This window comes from Homo sapiens, chromosome 1 (assembly GCF_000001405.40).
Source record: "Homo sapiens chromosome 1, GRCh38.p14 Primary Assembly".
Lineage (NCBI taxonomy): Eukaryota > Metazoa > Chordata > Mammalia > Primates > Hominidae > Homo > Homo sapiens.
In genome coordinates this window covers 223,999,729-224,023,672 of record NC_000001.11, presented here as the reverse complement: position 1 = coordinate 224,023,672, position 23,944 = coordinate 223,999,729, and the positions used below count along the sequence as shown (strand labels likewise).

The following is a 23,944-nucleotide window of genomic DNA, read 5'->3' as shown; positions in this document are numbered from 1 at the left end:
TGCTGGGATTGCAGGCGTTAGCCACCATGCCCGTCCTATTTCCACTTTATAAAAAGATTCTACACAAAGATATCCTCTAATTTCCTAAGTTAGCAGGACTTTTCTTATACAGAAAAAGATATATTTACATATATATTTTTCAGTTTTCCTAATTGTTGATCCAAGAATTGGTTGTAGGCTATTTAATTCCAGGCATTTCCTATAATTACCCCCATAAAAATGCCAGATTAAAATGTATTAGCAAAGTATGTTAATGCTCCTGAGAACAGATTTGTTGAAGAAGGTCCAAGAAATGACAGTGTTGTCACCACTCAGAAACGGCCATTTCCATTGAAGGAAGTGCTCCTCAGCTCCCCTGAGAGTCTGACCTCAGTTGAATTAAATTTGACCTTGTAACTGATGTTTTTAAGAAACATTGAACATAGATTGCTGACGACGGTGGATAGGTGGTGTCAGGGCAGTTTGAGCACACTGGGAATATAAGGCTCCTCATTATATGGCATGCCAAAAAAAGTTTGTCCTCCAGGCAAATATCCAAATTATATTGGAAGTTTGAAATGCCGGTATTGATAATAGTCTGCAAATATCCACTACCATCTTCATTTTTAATTCTCACCATATTTATCCTACCAACAAGATAATTTGTAGAGTATGACTAAACACAGCAACTAAGAATGCTTTTACCAAAATAAAATTATAAGTTGTGTAACAGTTCAGTTTCAGATAAAAAAGCAGACGTTCTTTCTGCCAGTGCTAGAAGTCAGTGAACATTTGACAGAGAGTCAAAATGGTTCCCAAGAAAAGCAGAGAAAAGGGACAACCCCAAAAATAGAATCACTTCTCACAGACCACTGCTTGAGCAACTTGTGAGCTGTAGGAGGGGCGCTGGTTCCTAAGCCTGAAGTGGAGGACGTGTTTTAATCCAGCCTGCATGAGGTTGTAGTGTGGTGCTTCCTTACCTCGGGGCAGCGGTGGGCGGGCAGTCCACACATTGCTAAAGGACCTGAGGAAAGTGGCTGGAGCGTCCAGAAAATTGATGAAAACTACAAAGTCTGCTTGGTTCTGCTTTGGCTTGCTAGATTACATCCCTTTTTTGTAAAAGACAATAAACTTGAGAAGTCTTTTTAAAATTAGATAATCAAAGTTGAGATCACTGAGGGCTGTGTCCAGCACACACACTAGCTGGGAAGCAGCAGAGCAGGAAGGCAGAAGCACAGATTGTGGGATCCCCCTGCTCTCCAGGTCTGGCCCCTCCCTCCTCAGTGGTGTGGCCTTGGGGCCAGCTTCAACTCTTCCTGCCTCAGTTTTCTCATCTCTAGAGCAGGGATAATAGTAAGACCTACTTCACAGGGGCATTACAGCATTAAAAGGGCATCAGGTACTTCAAATGGTGCCTTTATAATAATCACTCAGTAAATGCTTACAGTTCATTATAAATCTAAAGGAACCCAAAGGCGAAGATTGAGCAAAGTTGATTTGGTCTGCCCAGTGAAGAATACTTTCTGTATTTTGTAGTAAGGCTGACTTTAAAAATAGAGGTAGTGGATGTTGTTGTTTCTCTTTCTCTGCCCTTCCCCATGTATGTGAGGCCCTTCAGGAGCCCAGGCACACATGCAGTGCCAATTTGCTCCCAGATCCAAGGGTGTTCAGAAGTGGACTTCGAATTTCAAATAGCTGTGATTTTATTTAACTTTACTGAATTCTAGTTTTATTATATTACCACCAGAGAGTTTGGCCTTTAAGATCTCTAATTCTTTGAAATGATTAAGTTTTCCTTTGTGGCCTTCTTTATAATTGATTTTTGTAAATATTCTATTGATGTGTGAAAAAAATACAGATTCTCTATTTGAAGGATGTACTTTCTTTCTGTTTATCTAATTCTTCCACATCTTTACTTGTTTAGAATCGTCAGATTTGAGGAGATATGCAGTCATGCACTACATAACGATGTTTTGGTCAATGACCGACCGCGTGTAGTGTAGTGGCCACATAAGATTGTTTCCTTTTTTTACTGTACCTTTCCTATGTTTAGATATATTTAGATACACAGATACTTGCCATTATGTTACAGTTGCTGTTCAGTGCATTAATATGTTGTATAGGTCTGTAGCCTAGCTGTGTAGGTGTTGTGTAATACACTCTGTGATGTTCACACAATGAGGAAATTACCTAGCAATGCATTTCTCGGATCAGATTGTATCCCCCTTGTTAAGCGACCCATGACTGTATAAAAAACTTCCTATAATATTTGTGTTTTTAACAAATGTTCATTAAATTCCCAACAGACTTTGCTTTATGGCTAATTAGGCTTATGGACGATTACAGTTTCTTTGTTAATTGTCTTTTTCCCTGTTATCTTAGTTACCAGTTTAACCTGAAATGTAATCTTGTCAACTATGAACACGGCCCTTCTCACCTCTATGCTTATGTATGCCTCGTGATGTCCATTCTGTAGTCCTCTGTGGGTAACTAGTCTAAACTGACTGTGCTAAGCTAATCCCGTGCCTTCTGCTGATGATTTCAGTCTTTTAAAAGGAATTTTAAAACATGATATTAAAGAAATGTAGAAAACTTATTTCGATGATAGGAGAGGAGGTAGTCGGGAAGGCCTTATCTCCCAGGGAACACATATTCTCTGTTCTGGTATTTCTTCCCCTAGTGGAGCAGCAGTTCCAAACCCAAATGTTGTCTCAGGGGTCCTTTTCACTTTTTAAAATTACTGAGGACCCCAAAGAGATTTTGGTCATGTGAGTTATATCTATTAACGTTTGCCACATTAGAAATTAAAACAATTTTTAAAATATTTCTCCATTTATTTAAAAGTAAGGACTGGGCTGGGTGCATTGGCTCATGCCTATAATCCCAGCACTTTGGGAGGCCGAGGTGGGCGGATCACCTGAGATCAGGAGTTTGAGACCAGCCCAGCCAACATGGTGAAACCTGTCTCTACTAAAAATACAGAACTTAGCCAGGCATACAGAAAATTAGCCGGGCATGGTGGCATGCACCTGTAATGCCAGCTGCTCGGGAAGCTGAGGCTGGAGAATCGCTTGAACCCAGGAAGCAGAGGTTGCAGTGAGCCGAGATCGGGCCATTGCACTCCAGCCTGGGGGACAAAAGTGAAACTCCGTCTCACAAAACAAAACAAAACAAAAAAAGAGTAAGGACTGTATGTCTCACACCTTGGCACACCCTCCTGGTGTCTGGTGTGATGGAGGGGATTATTCCTCATCTCTCCTGAGTTCAGTCTTCTGTAATGTAGCACGCTGGGGCCTCTGGAGCACTTCACTGCACACTAACGAATGTGAGGATGGAAAAGGAAAATCATATCTTAGTGAAACTGTGGAAATAGTTTAGACCTCGGGCTCCCCTAACAGGCCCCTAGACGATGCTTTGGGAACCGTGGTGGTAGAACTCTCTCTCCCAGACTCACTCTGCCCTGACCCCTCTTATTGGTGAGAAACAGGCATGTGTAACTCTTCTTTTTCCTTTGAGGAATAAAAGATATTTGTACATTTTGGTCTGTTTCTTTCATGTCTTCAGTGCTGTAGGGCAAGAAGCCTATCTGGGGAGGCTTTGGTTATTAAGCAATGCTTATGGCTGGCTGGCTTCATCTCAGTCTAGGATTCAGATTAGGAAATCCATTGTTGTGTGAATCTGAATCGCATCCGCCAGTCCAGCTATTATTAGCGATAATGCTGATAACCTCAGTTGGCCTGAATCCTTTGTCTCTAAATTGATTCTAAAGTGAAGCAGGGAAAAGGGGTGCTATTCAACACTAAAACAAGAAATTTAATAACAATATTCAGTTAATTTGAAAAGATAAAGGAACAGGATTGAAATTTTAACAATGGTCTTCTCAGCTTTGCTTGGCCTAACCTAATCTTATCTCTGGCCAGTGCCCTCAACTGGTGTGTTTTAGTGTAAGATATTTTTATGTAAATATGTTAGAAATCACAGAATGTTTTTCCCCCAAAGATTATCATGTAATTGTCACATTTATAATGTTATTTGTGGCTCAGTATATGACTTAGTGATTTCTCATTCTGGAAATCAAGAAAGGCTGGAAGGAGAATTGGAAGGAAGGGATGAAAAACTCCATTTTCAGAGAAATAAAAGGCAGATGCAATTCACAGACTCTAAAATGTGCATGAGGCTTACCAAAAGCAGCTAAGCCTGGGTAGTGATAGTATAGGCAGAACTGAGCAGAAGGGCTCAGGCTAACAAAAGCACTCGTCAGGGCCAGGTCTAGAAGTCGAGCCCCACATACCCTGTGCACTGAGAGGCTGAGTCGCAGATGTTCAACTCCAGCTTGCAGAGTGCAGAAGTTCCAGGGAGGACCACTGACAGCAAAGGGCTTCCTGGATCCAGTTTTACTCAGAGACATGGGCTGTGGGGTCTCCCAGGGATTCACATGCAGGTAGCGGCTTGGGGAGAGAGTGCTGGAACTGGGAAGGCTGGAAGCTGCCCTTCCCCCACCCTGAGGGCATCTGCAAAACAGGTGCCCTAGGAAGTCCCACCTCACTCTGAAATGCCTGTTAGAGAAGGTGACCATCACTGCATGGATATTCTCTAAGGAAATTGTGGGAAATGTGTCTGTGAAGCAGGATGGAATCATGACCAGACAGTTCATCATAAATGAAAAAAACAGGAAACTCATGAAGCAGTTCTGTGGCAGAAGATCCCAGTGCAGGAATGCCACAAAACAGAAAAGAGATTTTAATGAGGTTGAGTATCCCTTATCCCAAATGCTTAGAACTGGAAGTGTTTTAGATTTTGGATTTTTTCAGATTTTGGAATATTTACATATACATAATGAGATAACTTGGGATACAAGCTTAAACATGAAATTCATGTATGTTTCACATACACCTTATACATATAACCTGAAGGTAATTTTATACAGTATTTTTAATAATTTTGTTCAACCCATCACATGAGGTCAAGTATGGAATTTTCCACTTGTGGCATCATGTCCATGCTCAAAAAGTTCTGGAGTTTGGAGGATTCTGGATTTTGGAATTAGGGATGCTCAACCTGTACAACCAAGTGAGACAGCAGGAGACAAAGTCAAGTTGGCAGAAGAAAGGATGGCAGCAGCCAGGAGAACCAACACAGAGGTGAAGGTGCGATTGGAAGGGCCCAGGAGAAGACAGATGTTTTGGGAAACACAAAAAAGGTGATGGAAAAATACGAATGAGAGAATTAATAAGAATTAAACCGTAATCCTGAGTTTAAAAGGAACTAGAAAGAAAATTACAGCTGAAGAGAACAGGGAGAGAGGTTCCAGCATATTTATCATTGGAATCTTCAAACAGGAAAACAAAACAAAAGGACAGAACAAATATTTAAAGATAATGTTCAGGAAAATTCTGCTCAGGTAAAAATAGATGGAAGTGTACATTGTGAGAGGGCAAATTTTATGCTGGGGAAGGTTGACTGAGAACAGGTTATGAGTGTGCCATATCCTACAGGAATTATTAAACTCTGAAGATGAAGCAAGAACCTCCCAATGGGTAAACAAACATGTCATCTCTTACTGAGGGAAAAGATCAGGGTGGCTTCAAATTTCTCCAAATTCTTCAGATAGTGGAGTAATCCTTACTTATGGGATCCTCCAGGAAGAAAGAATGGCCCATGAATTTTATGTCCAGTCAAAACATCTTTTGTATCCAGTCTGCAAACAAACACTATTGATCATGTGAGAACTCAGGGAATACTCACTGTTCTCATGAGCAGTTTCGGCTGGAGAAACAGTGTCCATCAGACTGGATGTCAGTGAATCTCTACAGCGTCAGCTGTGTGGCTGAGGGTGATGGAGCAGAGTGTGAGTGGAGGGCAGAGGAGAAAAAAAAGGTCGGTGGTTAGAGGTTTGTTGACTGTCTCACCTATAATCACAGGGAGGCACTAAGATGTTATTCACTAAAATCAAGTTGTAGAGGAGAGGGATGGAAGGAAGAAGGAGCAAGATGAATGACAGTTTTATCACAATGTGGAACAGGAAACTAACAGGCTAAGATGTGTTGTATGAGGATTCCGAAGGAGAGGGAATTACATAGAGTTAAAATTCCAAAAGTAACCCCTAGTACAAAATAGTGCAAACATTTCTAAATTTCAGAAGAACTACAGAGAGAACGCAAACTTTTTCAAAAAGCTACAAAAACATGTCATAAAAGTAAGACCAAACGTTGTATCTATACATGTAAACACATAACTTTATACACATAACCTGAAGGCTGGTAAAAGATTTCAGATTGAATCAAAAAGTGAAACCCAACTCCAAGTTGTACATAAGAAGCCCACCTAAAACAGAGATTTACAAAAGTTGGAAATAAAAGAATGAAAAGATATACTAGGCAAAAGTAAAAAATAAAGTGGGACAAAAAGCATTAAAGGAAAGCAGCAGCCCACTTTTTCCTGCCATGATGCACATCAGAGTAAGGGCAACTGGAAAAGCAGGGCATCCCTGTAGGGGCAGGTGGAGCAGCAGCGAGGGCCTCGGTCATCATTCCCACAGGAGACCTCTACTTCGTGGGTTCTGTCACAGGGATTTGTTACTGTGGCTTCCCAGAATACAAATTCTACAATTTTGTATTTTAGTGCAATTTATTTGCTATTTAATAATGAGTTTTCAAATACAAAATGCTATTTAATAATGAGTTTTGGTGTTGTGTTTCCTTCTTAATTTCTACATGGAAGGGCTGTTTGATTTATTGATTGTCTGTTCAGCAAACAACTGCGAGTATGGGCTTAGGTTGTGAAAATATTTGTTAGTGCCCAACCATTCATTCTAGCCTCTTTCTGGTGTGCCCTTTTGATACAGAGGCTGGAAAGCTAAAAGCTCCATTTCAGACTCTTGCAGCCTGGGCTCTGGGAGGAGATATGCTTCCACTAACTAAATGAATGCCTGCAAGACTAGAAGACAGAGCTGCAGGCTGTGGATGCCTCAGCTCCCTTGTATGAAGGTCTGTTCAGGTTTGCATGGGTAGTGACTGTTTCCTATACTTGGACTCTGACTGATACAGTGACTTAATTTAGGATGGCATGTTAGAAATCTTCATGCATGTGTGTTATATCACTGTGGTTTGTAATTCCATATTAACTTCTATTCCATTTGAGTCCATTCCTTTCCTTTCCATTCCATTCGAGTCCATTCCATTCCATTCCATTCCATTCGAGTCCATTCCATTCTATTCCATTCCATTCCATTCCATTCCATTCCATTCAAGTCCATTCCATTCCATTCGAGCCAATTTCATTCCATTATATTCGAGTCCATTCTATTCCATTCTATTCCATTTGAGTCCATTCCATTCCATTCTAGATCATTCCATCCCAACCCATTCCAATCGAGTCCATTCCATGTCATTCCATTCGAATCCATTCCATGTCATTTCATTCGAATCCATTCCATGTCATTCCATTCGATTCCATTCCATTCGAGTCCATTCTTTCCATTTCATTCGAGTCCATTCCATTACATTTAATTCCATTTGGGTGCATTCCATTCCATTCCATTCGAGTCCATTCCATTCCATTCCATTCGAGTTCATTCCATTCCATTCGAGTCCATTCCATTCCATTCCATTCGAGTACATTCCATTCCATTCCATTCCATTCCATTGCTTTCGGGTCCATTCAATTCAACTGCATTCCATAGGTGTCCATTCCATTGCATTCCATTCCATTCCATTCCATCCCATCCCATCCCATCCCTTCCATTCCCATTCCCATTCCATTATATTCCATTCCATTCGAGTCCATTCTATTCCATTCCATTCCATTCCATTCTATTCGAGCACATTTCATTTCATTCCATTCCATTCCATTCAGGTTCATTCCATTCTGTTATAATTCTATTCCATTCGAGTCCATTCAATGCCATTCCATTCCATATGAGTCCATTCAACTCCATTCCATTCGAGTCCATTCCATTCCATTCAAGTCCATTCCATTCCAATGCATTTGAGTCCATTCCATTCCATGCTATTCCATTTGAGTCCATTCCATTCCATTCCATTCCATTGCATTCAAGTCCATTCCAAACTCATTACATTCCAGTCCATTCTATTCCATTCCATTCTTTTCCATTCCATTCAATTTGAGCCCAGTCCATTCCATTCCATTCCATTCGGGTCCATTCCATTCAATTCCATTCGAGTCAGTTCCATTCCATTCCATTTGAGTCCATTCCATTGCATTCCATTCCATTCGAGACCATTCCATTGTATTCCATCCCAATCCTTTCGAGTCCATTCCATTCCATTCCATCTGAGTCCATTCCATTCCATTCCATTCCATTCGAGTCCATTCCATTGCATTCCATTCCATTCGAGTCTCTTCCATTCTATTCCATTCAAGTCCATTCCATTAAGAGTCCATTCCATTAAATTCCATTGTATTCCATTCCATTCCATTCGAGTCTCTTCCATTCTATTCCATTCAAGTCCATTCCATTAGAGTCCATTCCATTAAATTCCATTGTATTCCATTCGAGTTCATTCCATTCCATTCCGTTCCATTCATGTCCATTCCATTCCATTCGAGTCCATTCCATTCCAATCCTTTTGAGTCTATTCCATTCCATTCCATTCTATTCCATCCCATCCCATCCCATCCCATCCCATCCCATCCCATCCCATCCCATCCCATCCCATCCCATCGCATCCCATTCCACTCAAGACCATTCCATTTCATTCGGGTCCATTCCTATCCATTCCATTCGAGTCCATTCCAATACATTCCATCCCATTCGATTCCATTGCATTCCATTCCATTCCATTCCAGTCGGGTCGATTCCATTCCATTCCATTCCATTCCATTCCTTTCGGTTCCATTCCATTCCATTCCATTCGAGTCCATTCCATTCCATTCCATCCCATTCGAGTCCATTCCACTCCATTCCATTCCACTCGAGTCCTTTCCATTCCATTCCATTCTATTCGAGTCCATTCCATTCCATTGGAGTTCATTCCATTCCATTCCATTCGAGTCCATTCCATTCCATTCCATTCCTTTCGAGTCCATTCAATTCCGTTCCATACAATTCGAGTACATTCCATTCCATTCGAGTCCATTTCATTCCATTCCATTCCATACCATTACATTCCATTCAATTCAAATCCACTCAATTCCATTCCATTCCATTTGAATCCATCCCACCGCATTCCATTGGAGTCCATTCTATTCCATTCCATTCCACTAGAGTCCATTCCAATCCATGCGAGTCCATTCAATTGCATATCATTCGAGTCCATTCCATTCCATTCCAGTACATTCCATTCCATTCCATTCTGGTACATTCCATTTCATTTCAGTCTATTCCATTCCATTCGAGTCCATTTCATTCCATTCCATTCCATTCTTTCAGGTCCATTCAATTCAACTGCATTCTATTCAAGTCCGTTCGATTCCATTCCATTCCATTCCATTCCATTCGAGTAATTTTCATTCTATTACATTCCATTCCATTCGAGTACATTGCATTCCATTCCATTCCATTGCATTCCATTCGAATCCATTCGACTCCACTCCGTTCGAGTCCATTCCATTCCACTCGAGTCCATTCCATTCCATTGCATTCGAGTCCATTCCATTCCATGCTATTCCATTTCAGTCCATTCCATTCCATTCCATTCGAGTAAATTCCATTCCATTCCATCCCATTCGAGTAAATTCCATTCCATTCCGTTCCATTCCGTTCCGTTCCATCCGAGTCCATTCCGTTCCATTCCATTTCATTCGCGTCCATTCCGTTCCATTCCATTCCATTCCATTCCATTCCATTCCGTTCGAGTCTATTCCATTCCATTGCATTCCATTCGAGTCCATTCCACTGCATTCCATTTCTTTCGAGTCCATTCCATTCCACTCGAGTCGATTCCATTCCATTCCATTCCATTCCATTCCATTCCATTCCATTCCATTCCATTCCATTCCATTCCATTCTAGTCCATTCCATTTCATTCGAGTCCATTCCATTTCATTCGAGTCCATTCCATTCCATTCCATTCCATTCCATTCCATTCCATTCCATTCCATTCCATTCCATTCCATTCCATTCGAGTCTTTTCCATTTCATTCCATTCCATTCCCTTCCAATCCGTTCCATTCCATTCCTTCCATTGCTTTCGGGTCCATTCAATTCAACTGTATTCCATTCGAGTCCATTCCATTACATTTTATTCCATTCCATTCCATTCCATTCCAGCACATTTCATTCCATTACATTCCTTTCGAGTCCAATCCATTCCATTCCATTCCTATCGAGTCCATTCAATTCCATTCCATACCATTCGAGTCCATTCCATTCCACTCCATTCCATTCCATCCATTCCATTCGAGTCCATTCCATTCGCATCCATTTCATTCCATTACATTCCATTCCATTCGAGTCCATTCCATACCATTACATTCCGTTTGACTCGAATCCATTCAATTCCATTCCATTCCATTCGCATACATTCCACTCCATTCCATTCGAGTCCATTCCATTCCATTCCATTCCACTCGAGTCCTTTCCATTCCATTCGAGTCCATTCCGTTCCATTCCATTCCTTTCCATTACAGTCCATTCCATTCCATTCAATTCGTGTCCATTCCATTCCATTCCACTTGAGTCCATTCCATTTGAGTCCATTCCATTCCATTCCATTCCATTTGAGTCCATTCCATTCCATTTCATTCCAGTCCTATCCATTCCATTCTATTCCATTCCAGTCCACTCCATTCCATTCCATTCCATTCCGTTCCATTGCATTCGAGTCCATTCCATTCCGTTGGAGTTCATTCCAATCCATTCCATTCCGTTCCATGCCATTCCGTTCCATTCCATTCCATTCCGTTCCATTCCATTTGGGTCCATTCCATTCCATTCGATTCTATTCCATTCCATTGCATGCCATTCGAGTTCATTCCACTTCATTCCATTTAAATTGAGTCAATTCCATTCTATTCCATTCCATTCCATTCCATTCCACTCGAGTCGATTCCATTCCGTTCCATTCCATTCGAGTCCATCCCATTTCATTCGAGTCTATTCCATTCCATTCCATTCCATTAGAGTCCACTTCATTCCATTCCATTCCATTCCATTCCGTTCCGTTCCATTCCGGGTCCGTTCCGTTCCATTCCGGGTCCGTTCCGTTCCGTTCCGTTCCGTTCCATTCCATTCCATTCCAATCCGTTCAAGTGCATTCCATTGCATTCCATTCCATTCCATTCCAGTCCATTCAATTCAATTCTTGTCCATTCCATTGCATTCCATACCATTCTAGTCTATTCTGTTCTATTCCATTCGAGTCCATTCCATTGCATTCCATACCTTTCGAGTCTATTCCGTTCTATTCCATTCTAGTCCATTCCATTCCATTAGAGTCCATTCCATTAAATTCCATTGTATTCCATTCGAGTCCATTCCATTCCATTTGGTTCCATTTGTGTCCATTCCATTCCATTTGAATCCATTCCATTCCATTTCTTTCGAGTCCATTCCATTCCATTCCATTCTATTCCATTCAAGTCCATTCCATTCCATTCAGTTCCATTCCATTCCATTCCATTAGAGTCCATCCCATTCAAGTCCATTCCATTCCATTCCATTCCATTCCATTCCATTCCATTCCATTCCAATGCATTCCATTGCATTCCTTTTGGATCCTTTCAATTCAACTGCATTCTAATTGAGTCCATTCCATTCCATTCATGTCCATTCCATTAGAGTCCATTCAATTCCATTCCATCCCATTCGAGTCTATTCCGTTCCATTCTGTTCCATTCGTGTCCATTCCATTCCATTCCATTCCATTCCATTCCATTCCATTCCATTCCATTCATGTCCGTTCCATTCCATTCCATTCCATTCCATTTCATTCCATTCGAGTGCGTTCCATTCCATTCCATTCTGTTCCATTCCATTCGGGTCCATTCCATTCCACTCCATTCCATTCCATTCCATTTCTTTCGAATCCATTCCATTCCATTATATTCACACATCACATTCTGGTTTAATGCTTATTCAATAATGAACTGTTTTGTTTCTCTACTTCCTTTGTGGAGAAAATTTTTGGGTTGAGAGATTTTGAATTTAATCACATTTAACCCACACATACTTGGGAGGGCTTGCCATAGCTTGCACTCCCATTTGGCTCTGTGACATCACTCTGCACTGTGTTTTGTCCTGGGTCTCTGGCATACCTTAGTCTCTTGCCCTAACTTACTTTCTTTCGCCCACACCTTAAGCAATAGGTCCTCCAAGGTTCCTGCTCGATTTCTAGTTTGTTCGTTCATTCATTCTTTTGTTCTTTCTCTCTCCTTCTCTCTCTCTGTCTCTCATTGTCTCCTCCTTTCTCTCTCCCTCTCTCTTTCTCTCTTTCTTCGGAGTTTTGCTTTTTTTGCCCAGACTGCAGTGCAATGGCACGATCTCAGCTCGCTGCAACCTCCACCTCCTGGGTTCAAGCAATTCTCCTACCTCAGCTTCCCAAGTAGCTAGGATTACAGGCATGTGCAACCACGCCTGGCTAATTTTTTGTATTTTTAGTAGAGATGGTGTTTCACCATGTTGGTCAGCTGGTCTCAAACTCCAGACCTCAGGTGATTCACCCACCTCAGCCTCCCAAAGTGCTGGGATTACAGGTGTGAGCCACCACACCTGGCCAAGTTCTAGTCTTTTCTTAATATGAAAAATTTCAGCCATGCTAAGGATTTCTACAGCTGACTACATGTGATGAGGGCTAATTTTAAAAAAAATCTTCAGTCCAGATCTCATTTCCAGATTCGAATTTTAATTGTCTATTGGACACCATCATAGAGCACCTTTTCCCATTAGCACCTAAAATGCACCATGATAGAATAGTGGAGTAGAAATAAATAATTTTGGTTTGGTATAAAAAAATCTTTGTTCACATACTAGAGCTGAGTTATAGTTGTGGCAATTAGCTCTGTGACCTTGGAAAAGTTATTTCTAACCTCTTCAAGCCTTACTTTTCCATCTGACGAATCAAAATAATATTGGTGTTAGTATTGTCTTGCGCATCTGTGTGAAGAGAGTCCACCAACAGGCTTTGTGTGAGCAACAAGGCTGTTTATTTCACCTGGGTGCAGGCAGGCTGAGTCTGAAAAAGGAGTCAGTGAAGGGAGACAGGGGTGGGGCTGTTTTATAGGATTTGGGTGGGTAGTGGACAATTACAGTCAAAGGGGGTTGTTCTCTGGTGGGCAGGGACGGGGGTCACAAGGTGCTCAGCGGGGGAGCTTCTGAGCCAGGAGAAGGAATTTCACAAGGTAATGTCACCAGTTAAGGCAGGAACTGGCCATTTTCACTTCTTTTGTGATTCTTCAGTTATTTCAGGCCATCTGGATGTATACATGCAGGCTTGGGCCCAGAGGCCTGACAAGTATGAGTATGATAATAAATAATTTATAGAAATCAAGAAAATAATTCAATTTACCCTAATATCAAAAAGAATGAAATTGTAGGAATAAATTTAACCAGGTAAGTGAAAGATCTGCACAATGAAAACTATAAAACATTGATGAAAGAAATTGAAGAAGACACAAGTGAATGGAAAGATATTTCATGTTCATGGATTGGGAGAATTAATAGTGTTAAAACATCCATACTATCCAAAGCAATATATAGATTCAACACAATCCCTATCAAAATGTCAATGGCATTTTTCACAGAAATAGGAAAAACAATTCTGAAATTCATATGAAACCACAAAAGACCTGAAATGGCAAAAATAAATAAATAAATAAATAAATCTTTAGAGCAAAAAACAAAGTTATAGGTATTACACATTCTGATTTCAAATTATATTACAAAGCTATAGTAATCAAAACACTGTGGCACTGGCATGAAAACAGAGATGTAAAGCAATGAAACAGAATAGAGCCCAGAAATAAACCCAAGCATATAAAAGTCAACTAATTTTTGACAAGGACATCAAGAAAACACAGTGGAGAAAGAATAATCTCTTCAATAAATGGTGTTATGAAAATTGGATATCCAACACTGGGGAGACTGGACCCTTATCTTACATCATACACAAAAATATACTCAAAATAGATGAAAAATCTGAAACCATAAAATTTCTGTAAGAAACATAGGGGGAAAGTTTCTTGATATTGATCTTGGCAATGATATTTTTGGATATCACACCAAAAGCTCAGGCAACAACAACAAGGATAAATACATGAGACTACATCAGACTACATCAAACTGAAAACCTTCTGCACGTTGACTGGGTGTGGTAGTTCACATCTGTAATCCCAGCACTTTGGGAGACCAAGGTTGGAGGATCACTTGAGGCCAGGAGATCAAGGATCACCCTGGGCAACATAATGAGATCTGTCTCTATAAAATAAATAAATAATAAAAAATTAAATGAAATAATCAACAAAATGAAAAGACAGCCTACAGATTGGGAGAATATACATGTGTAAATTGGGACTGTCCTGGGCAGACTGAGATAAATGATTGCCTTACCTTTTTCTGAAAAAATTACTACCTGCCCTTGGGGCTGTGTTTTTGTCTTACCTAAGAATTTGCCCATGGGTACAACAGCATGCTGACACAAAGCAAGAAGCTTGTATAGTTCTGATCTTAAAGTAGAAAAAATCATCTGTGATGAGGAATGGAATTGGACTTGGTGCAGCTCTATCTTGACTGGGAGCCATAAAGGCAAAAATGTTGAAGACCGAACACCCCACCCTTTGGGCATCTACAGTGGATTTTTGGGATTGAGTTGCCTGGAACTTAGGACTGCAGGTTTGGAGGTGCTTTGAATAAAATGGATGTTCCTTTCATAAAAAATTTTGAAGCAACAAAGGAGAAAGGCCTTGGTAGAAGATAGTGAAGGATGCTTCCTATCAATGGAGTGAAATGTTTGATGGTATTTGCACTCTGAGGTGCAGAGATGTTTGGAGAAATCTGTTAGTGGCAGGATGGGAGGAATTGGCCTTGAGAGCTAGAAACTCTGAGGTCAAGTTTTATTGTGATATACCTAGGTATGATTTTTTTTTTATTATACTTTAAGTTTTAGGGTACATGTGCACAATGTGCAGTTTAGTTACATATGTATACATGTGCCATGTTGGTGTGCTGCACCCATTAACTCGTTATTTAACATTAGGTATATCTCCTAATGTTATCCCTCCCCCCTCCCCCTCCCCCACAACAGGCCCTGGTGTGTGATGTTCCCCTTCCTGTGTCCATGTGTTCTCATTGTTCAATTCCCACCTATGAGTGAGAACTAATCATGCATGGAGTTTATAGCACTTTGAATCTGTGGCTTGATATATTTGTTTGTTTTTGAAAGTTCTTACTGTTTTGGAGGGGGCAATCTCAAAGAAAATTGCAATAACAATACAAGGAACTATTTTTCTCTGAAATGTTTGTTGATAAGTGGCTGATATAATGCCCTGTCACCCTCGATTAGTTTAATTCATATTACCTGTTGACTAGAACATTCTAAAAAACCAGAGTACAATGATCAAAGTGAGGAAATTAAATTGAGCTTACTACTACCAATGAATCTTCAGACCCCACTCAAATTTTATCAATAGTCTCAATACTGTTCTTTATATCAAAAAGATGAAATCCAGAATTAAGCATTTAGATTTCATGCCTCTTTAGTTCCCCTGAGTTTGGAAAAGATTGTCTGTTTTTCTTGACTTTTATAACCTTGAAATTTTTGAAGATTACAGGACCATTTATTTGTAGAATATCCCTCAGTTTGGTTTTTTTCTAATGTTTCCTCATTATTAGATTCATTTTTTATAGGGTGTCACAGAAGTGATGCTTTATTTTCTCATTGTATCTATCAAGTGGCTCATGATTTTGATTTACTCTGTTACTGATAATGCTCAACTAAACCTCTTGATTAAAGTGGTTCTGCCAAGATTCTCATGTCAAGGTGCACTTTTCCCCTTTGTAAGTAATACATAATTTGTGAGAAGATACCTTAAGACTACATAAATATCTCATTTCCTTTAACGAATTTCAATATTCAATTATTATTTATATTAATATGATGTCATGAATTCCTTTCTTCAATGGGTTATAATTCTGTGACTGTCACCATTTTATTCTGATGTTCAAATTGTCCCATATTTGGCCTGTTGGAATCTTTTCAAGTTGGCTTCTCTGCTTTTTTTGGGCATGTCTCCATCATTCTTTGAGCATTGCCTTACTTTCTTGTACAAAAAGATATTCTGGGCTCATCTTATACTTTCTGTGCTCTAGCTTTGAAATTACCATTTCTTCAAAGAGCTCTGTTTCCTTTTAGAGGAGGATGGTTTTTAGAAACCAAGTTCTAGGTAGCAGGTGTGCTCGTTGCTGTTGAGGTGTTGCAGCTCCCAGGCCCTTTCCGTGAACAGAGCTAGGAAAATTTGATTATATGTGTGTTAAACCTTTTACCATGTCTGATATGTCTCTTAAGCTCTTTTCTAAATTTGCATTCTATGCTTCTCAGTGCTTTTATTTTCTACTTCTTTCCATTTTTTGAGTATTCTTGTTTTCTTACCAACTTTATGGAATTTGCTGTTAAACCTATCTGGTAATATCTTAATTTTAGTCATTGAAATTTTCAGTTATAGAAAATCCATTTGATTCTTTCATAGAGTCTTTAGTTTTGTTTATATTATATTTATATATAAATACTATATATAAAGTATTAAAATCCAAATAACAAGATTTTATATTTAAACACAAAATACTTGCTGAATATTTATTATAGTATCCCAACTTTTAAAGAGAAAGATATTTAAAAATAAACATGACAAGGAAATTAGAGAAGTCAACTTCTTAAATATAACCAAAGTGTCAAAAAACATTTAAGTCAGTTTAAAAATTAAACTCTAGGAAAAAAGGTAAACCTTGTAAAAGTCTCATTAAATTTCAGAAGCCTACAAAACGTCAGCAACAGAAAACATTTAGTTCACATGTGTATTACATTCTGGTTGAATTTTTTCCCTCTGTCCATTTAGATTTATATTGGCTAGTCTTTTCGTCAACAAATTTAGTTTTTAAATCTTGTTTTTAAGCAATAGAAAATCCTTTATCATTTCTAGAAGATAAACCCACAGCAGAGAGAAAAGACTATTTAGCCTCAAATTCTACAGCATAATAAACAACTACAGGGAAAATAACAAATTTTTTTTGTATGTATGTATGTATGTATTTCTAAGGGAAAAAATCCTTCTATATAAAACTCACTGAATGACACCAATTTTTCTAAAAGTGGGAATCAATACTAGAAGGATAAAACACCATTTTAAAATTCATGTTCCAAGTCAGTATTTTACTTTAATAACAGTTACAAAATAGTGAACAATGCACATGAAGCGATAATAGCCAAAATCATATATCAGCCATGCATGCAGTTCATACTTGGTAGAGGGAGGTAGGAGGCACTGAAAGTGCACTGTTGGATGAATTTATAATCACTCTAAAAACAAAACCCTCTAAAAAGGGAACCTAGGGACTACCCAGACAAGATGGAAAGGCTCTGATTCATTTATTAGACTGCACAGAATTTCAGTCTGTAGTGAGCAGGGTACCTGGAACTCTATACATAAAATTCTGTGTCATATTCTTTTTTTTTTTTTTTGAGATGGAGTTTCACTCTCATTGCCCAGGCTGGAGTGCAATGGTGTGATCTCGGTTCACCGCAAACTCCATCTCCCAGGTTCAAGCAACTGTCCTGACTCAGCCTCCCTAGTCGCTGGGATTACAGGCATGCGCCACCACGGCCAGCTAATTTTGTATTTTTAGTAGACACGGGGTTGCTCCATGTTGGTCAGGCTGGTCTCGAACTCTCGACCTCAGGTGATCCACCTGCCTCAGCCTCTCAAAGTGCTGGGATTACAGGCGTGAGCCACCGCACCCAGCCTCATATTCTTTCACTTAATCCACAATATCATGTACCAATGGGCAAAACTTTGCTCCATTTCTAAAAATAGTTAAACTGAGAAATTATTCAAAGGTACATTTTTATATATAAGATATAGCAATTTTAAACATCTTACCCCTTGTGATGAATAAGAAATGGCACAAAGCCACTACATATCATTTGAATATAAAACTTTTTTTCTTTTAAAAAAGCTCTCATTTCCCATGCAATTTTAAGAAATAAAATTTTCCCCAAGGGGATGGCAGGAATGTGATTTCATGAGAATTACTGTAGTTGGAGAGAGTCCAGAAAATCTAAAATAATAAAATTGGTTATAAGCTGACAAATTTTATTGACTTAACTGCAGGTTAAGATTTCACTCTCCTGGCTTTCAGGAAAAGGCCCTGACAAGTTAAATGAGAATGATTTAAAAATATAAATTCAAGAAGCTACACAAATACTTATAAAAGGTTATAAAGTGTGTTGTATTTTTGAGATGACTTTTTTTGAGCCTTTTAAGTCAAAGAGTCAGTTTAGTGATTTAAATATATAAACTGAGAACACCATAAAATGATAGACTGGATTAAGAAAATGTGGCACATATACACTGTGGAATACTATGCAGCCATAAAAAAGGATGAGTTCATGTCCTTTGCAGGGACATGGATGAAGCTGTTAACCATCATTCTGAGCAAACTATCACAAGGACAGAAACCCAAACACCGCATAGGTATTTCTCACTCATAGGTAGGAATTGAACAATGAGAACACTTGGACACAGGGCGGGAAATATCATACACTAGGGCCTGTCGTGGCATGGAGGATGGGGGAGGGATAGTATTAGGAGAAATACCTAATGTAAATGACCAGTTAATGGGTGCAGCAAACAAACATGGCACATGTATACATATGTAACAAACCTGCACATTGTGAACATATACTGTAGAACTTAAAGTATACTACTACTACTACTAATAAAAACTGAAATTACTTCAACAAAAGGCAATGCCAGGTAGTTACAAACGTGTACTACCCAAACCTGCCTGAAGGTGGGAGTCTTCAGTTATGTAATGGTCTAGGGCACAGCAAAAAAAAAAACCAAAAAAAAAACAAGAGTATTACACATAAAAGAAGAAACATTTTTACCCCACTCCAATCTGACAGTGCAAAAATATAAGTATATAATTAAGGCTCCCTTATCCATCTAGAGTGATAATGGGCATTGACCCATCTATAAAAACAAACAAAAAAAAGAGAGCGAGAAGCCAAAAATGGAAGAGAAAGATATACCTGAAGGAATTGGTTTACTCTACTGTAATGTGAGTGTTAGATAACTTAATGCTATGTAGCTTGATGCTACTACAGTTCTTTTGGTGGAGAGATGGTGGAGTTACAGTCACCAGGTGGCTGAATTATGTATGCTGAGTTACTTACCCAAAGGAAAAGACTGAGGAAGAATAATTGGAAAAATCTGCAGTTACAAATGACACATATATGTACTCAAAATGAAAGGGGAAGTACAAAGAACAAAAAAAGGGAGTACAGGCTAACTATAACAAACAGAACAATCGCATCAGATTAATGTCTAGATTCTTAGGTCTTATGTCCTAATAAACAAAAGGTTAGTACTGACAACATGATACTTAAACATGTCTATGACAGCTAAGGTGAAACAGAAGCCAAACAGATTTTTTGCATTAAGAAATGGCACAAGAAAACATTGGCATGCAAGTGCTTTTGATAACCATCTCTTATGAGACTTATAATAAATAGCATCTCTGGATTTATTTTGAATATGTCTAACTGGTTTGGCTGCTTCTCTTTATTTGGTAGTTCAACATGAAAGCTAAATTTGCCACATTGAGACCTCAAACCATGGTGGCAACACTGTTTATTTCCATGAAGCAGGGAAAATCCTTATGAATAAGAACTAAGGAGTAAAATCACTGTTAGCTTGCACAGGACTTAAAAAGGCTTTTCAACTAAGACATTTCTACATGAAATTTGGTACTTAATAATGGGTATAGTTGTATGTACTTCACAAACTTAAAGATTACTCAAATATGCACATAAAGGTAACAGTAAGCAACAACAACAAAAAGGAATCAGAAGTATCAGGTTACTGACCCATGTCCTGAAGGAGCAATGAAGTATAAACAACACTGCACCCTGTTACCAGGCATCTGACATCTGTTCACTTGCGATTCTGCATTTAGGTAGTCCTCAAATTTACTATCAATGTAATTGATAGCAGGCTGCCAGCTATAGAATGCAAATAAACAAAACAATTAAGTTGCAATTCTACATATGAATTAACTGATGACTGTTAAAGGACAATAATCAATATTTTCAAATAGGCAAAATGAATTAACCAATGGAAGATATGTCAAGTTATTCTATATAAAGATTCAAAAATATAAATTGTGTTGAATAAATCTTTATTCATTATTTCAAAACTTTCCAAATGAAAGAAAATATTTATTGTTGAAACACAGCTAAATTATTAGCATACTATTGGCACTAGTAAGTGTATTAATAACACACTTCATAATATGAAAACGATTATATTCAGTTTCAAATTTCAAATGAGAGATTACTTAAATAATATAAAAACTTCATGATGAACTTAGGAGTTTTAAGAGTTGACAGAAAAATACCTCAAAAACAATGTGAATTCAAACAAAATTAAAGTTATTTATAAAATACTAAGATAATTACTTCAGACTAAAATTTCATAGTTGTTTTCTTCACTTAGGACTTATGGAAAAACTGAAGGTCTAAATATCAGGTTTAAATTAGGATTGTGATAGAATTTATACAAATGGATAAAATTAAAGCAAAGCATTTTAAATTTCTTCCAATAATGAGAATTCTTCTATCTAGCTACGTTATTTTGGAATATGTCTTCAAAACAATTTTATGATAGGTATTATCTCCATTTTATCAAAAAGTAAATGGGTTCAAAGAAGTTAAACTTCTTTGTTTAACTTTGAAGTTAAACTTTGTCAAATAAGTGGCAAAGTTGGTATACAAACCTGTCATGTTACTTGAAGTTTGGTGACCTTTGCTAAGAAGAGTTTTAAAATGTTAAGAAGAGAAAGTTTAACCACCCCAGTACCCCAAATACACTGGAAAGTTGTGAGGACAAATCCTTTTTACCAATTACTGTTATCCACTGCATCTCCAAATACTGGGGTATCAACTATTGTAAGCAGCAACTGAACACCACCTTCTCTGATTAAAACTTTGGATTGTTCCACCTATAAGAGTAATTGGTGCAGATGTTAATATCATACATTACACCAGTGATTTCCTACCAGGGGTGATGGTAGGGATGTTTGAGTTTATCTACCTACTCTCACATTTTCTTTAGGATCAATGATTGTGGGCATTGGGAATCCAGATTATTTGAAAGAAAAGCATATATACAAATAGTATGCCAATCTCTTGGCAAATTAATACTGGGTTTATGAGTCATACTTGGTATAAAGAAAGACAGAGGAACTGATAAAATTCTGATCACCACTAAAGACATGTAATACATAACTTAAATGTGCATCTAATAATACAATTAAGCAGTTTGAGTGATTCAGTCATTAACAGAGTTCAAATGTAATTAACCAGGCAAGAACATTTAATCTACTGTTTATAGTAAATGTCTTCCTGGACTATTCTCTATCAAGTTTGGCCCAAACCACTCACTCAAATGAACTTACTATCATTCCTAAATCTTTCTCAGCATGGATGTAATTACCCTTATATTTATGTTATGGCTAGGATCCAATCCTCTTCTCAAATGCGATACTCCACATTCCGGACAATGTAATCAGCAAAGGTCCAGACAGTTAATAAAAAAAAGTGTATTCTGGTAGGGTGAAATCTTACTGATTATTGGACTTAAATGATAACAACAGTTCCTGGAACAATTTAAGATATTCTGTAACCTCAAGCTCTGTATCAGGAGATGTATTATCATTCATCCTGGGCATATGCTGCTGTTAAATGCAAAGTATCAGTTTTCAGGAGCCGAAGATAAAGCAAACATGGATTCAAATAAAAAGGGAATAATTCCTTCATAAGATAGGCTTTCTCCTGATACACATTTATATCAAGTCCTTTTTAAGGCAAGAGGCTCCAAGTATGCTGATAAGCTAATTTACAAGACAAAAAGTTTGGGACACTTTTAGAGATAGCCTATTTCCTTTTGGCATGTTTTATAGATGCTACCTAATGCATGAAGAGACTAACATGCGGAGACTAAGATTGCTGAGCAAGAAAAGTCTGTAGCCACACTATCCAATAACACTTTCTGAGATGATGGAATTGTTGTGTATCCACACTGTCCAATATGGTAGCCACTTGCCCATGTGGCTACTTACTCCTTAAAATCTGACTAGTGCAAATAAGGAACTGATATTTAATTTTATTTAATTTGAATTAACTTAAATAGCCACATGTGGCTAGTGACTACTGAATACACAGCAGAGGTCTATAGCAATCAAGAGTTTTCTGTTAAAAGAATTTTATTATCAAGAATAAAACTTATAAAACTGAAAAAAATTGCCTGAGTGTGTACATGCATGACTTATCTTTTAGAGAAATGAGATGCCAAAGTCTTATCTTTTAGATTAATGTTCTTCAAACTGCTTTGATCCTGATACAAACTATCAGTGAAAATTTTGCAGATCCAAAAGATATTTACCCACCAAATATATACTATTGGCAATCTGAATATTAAGTATTAATATGTATTATCATTTATCTGTAGATTAAAAGTAAAGATCAATAAATAAGAGTTGTAATAGTTTCTGATCATCCTCAGTATCAGTGATGGATGCACATCATTTAGAAGATCACTGTTACATACCACATAACTCAGATAACATGTCTATTATCAGGTTACCCTAATAACATGAGAGAGGCAAAATGACTCAGAGAAAACAATCAGATTCATCAGTGTGAAATCATGAGAACCAAAGGAAAAAAAATTTTTTTTTTTAGTCAGGGTCTCACTCTGTTGCCCAGGCTGGAGTGCATGGTAGATCATAGCTTACTGCAGCTTCAAACTCCTGGGTTCAAGCAATCTTCCCATTTCAGCCTCCCAAAGTGCTGGGCCAAAAAAATTTTTTAACAATATCATCTTATCTGGTTTAGGAAGTTTACATTTTCTTTATCTGGTGATCTTCTAGTCAAAGGACAACCCAGTCAAATCTAACATCTCAATATCTTGAATTCACTTCCATCTCCTTTATAAAGACAGATCATTTATTCATGGTAACTGTGGCTGACGCAGAAATATCCAAAGTAATTATACCACTCCTTTACCTACTTACTCTTTTAAACAACATAGTACTGTATTCTAGAAAGTGATACAAAAATATAGTTAATCTACATGAATCATCTCCCAATTTTACTTAAAAATATTTCTGGTTCCTTTATTACCAAATGAAGCCCATTCTACCTTCAGTAATATGCTGTATACCAAACACACATTTTAACCTAACAGCTTAAATTTTAAGATATTTCCCTGTTTAAAAAAAAAATCAGTTCAACAACTTAATTACTTATTGACTTGCTAAGACAAATGAAGATTTGTATTTTACACACATAAGGAATGTTTATAAAGCTTCTTTTCTTCTCTGGCCTATGAAATTCTGTATGTCCATACATGGTCAAATACAAAGAAGTCAGCGACATATGGAAGAGATCCAGAAAACATAACTGCAAACTAGTGCCATTCACAGGATCCAACTGGACCCTATCATCTGCTTTTACAAGTATCCTCATGGGATCCATGGAAAACAAATTAGTTCGAGTCCAAGAATTTCAAACTTTTCTTAACAAATCTATTCCAAATGGCCACTTTCCCGTGCACTTTCCTTAAGCAGGCCACATCAACATCTTTTATGGCATCACTCAGGGTTCTCTAAGATTAGCTGCATAATTTAATACCAAAAAAATGAATCAAGAACATTGTCAAATGTTTTTCCCTGAAAAATAAATAAAACTAAAACTATCGTCTATGAATCATCTATGTATAATTCATCTATTGA

The 23,944-nt window shown here is 38.0% G+C and overlaps 1 pseudogene across 4 annotated transcripts in view, besides 2 other annotated features; it reads right to left on the bottom strand.

Annotated features, from left to right (window-relative positions):
- Window positions 1–23,944, bottom strand: part of SEPTIN7P13 (septin 7 pseudogene 13) — a 41,130-nt pseudogene that overhangs the window by 10,187 nt on the left and 6,999 nt on the right. Inside the window, 3 exon segments of one of the 4 annotated variants that reach the window (NR_136592.1) lie at window positions 13,066–14,353; window positions 20,019–20,153; window positions 21,051–21,151. The product of NR_136592.1 is annotated as a septin 7 pseudogene 13, transcript variant 3 (transcript). 4 annotated transcript variants of the gene reach the window in all.
- Window positions 10,725–11,418: an enhancer, noted in NCBI's record as "OCT4-NANOG hESC enhancer chr1:224199957-224200650 (GRCh37/hg19 assembly coordinates)". NCBI's record gives its function as "activates a minimal SCP1, AML or CMV promoter by ChIP-STARR-seq in naive H9 embryonic stem cells {active_cell/tissue: H9 hESC(naive)}" and the evidence as "EXISTENCE:reporter gene assay evidence [ECO:0000049][PMID:30033119]".
- Window positions 11,419–12,113: an enhancer, noted in NCBI's record as "OCT4-NANOG hESC enhancer chr1:224199262-224199956 (GRCh37/hg19 assembly coordinates)". NCBI's record gives its function as "activates a minimal SCP1, AML or CMV promoter by ChIP-STARR-seq in naive H9 embryonic stem cells {active_cell/tissue: H9 hESC(naive)}" and the evidence as "EXISTENCE:reporter gene assay evidence [ECO:0000049][PMID:30033119]".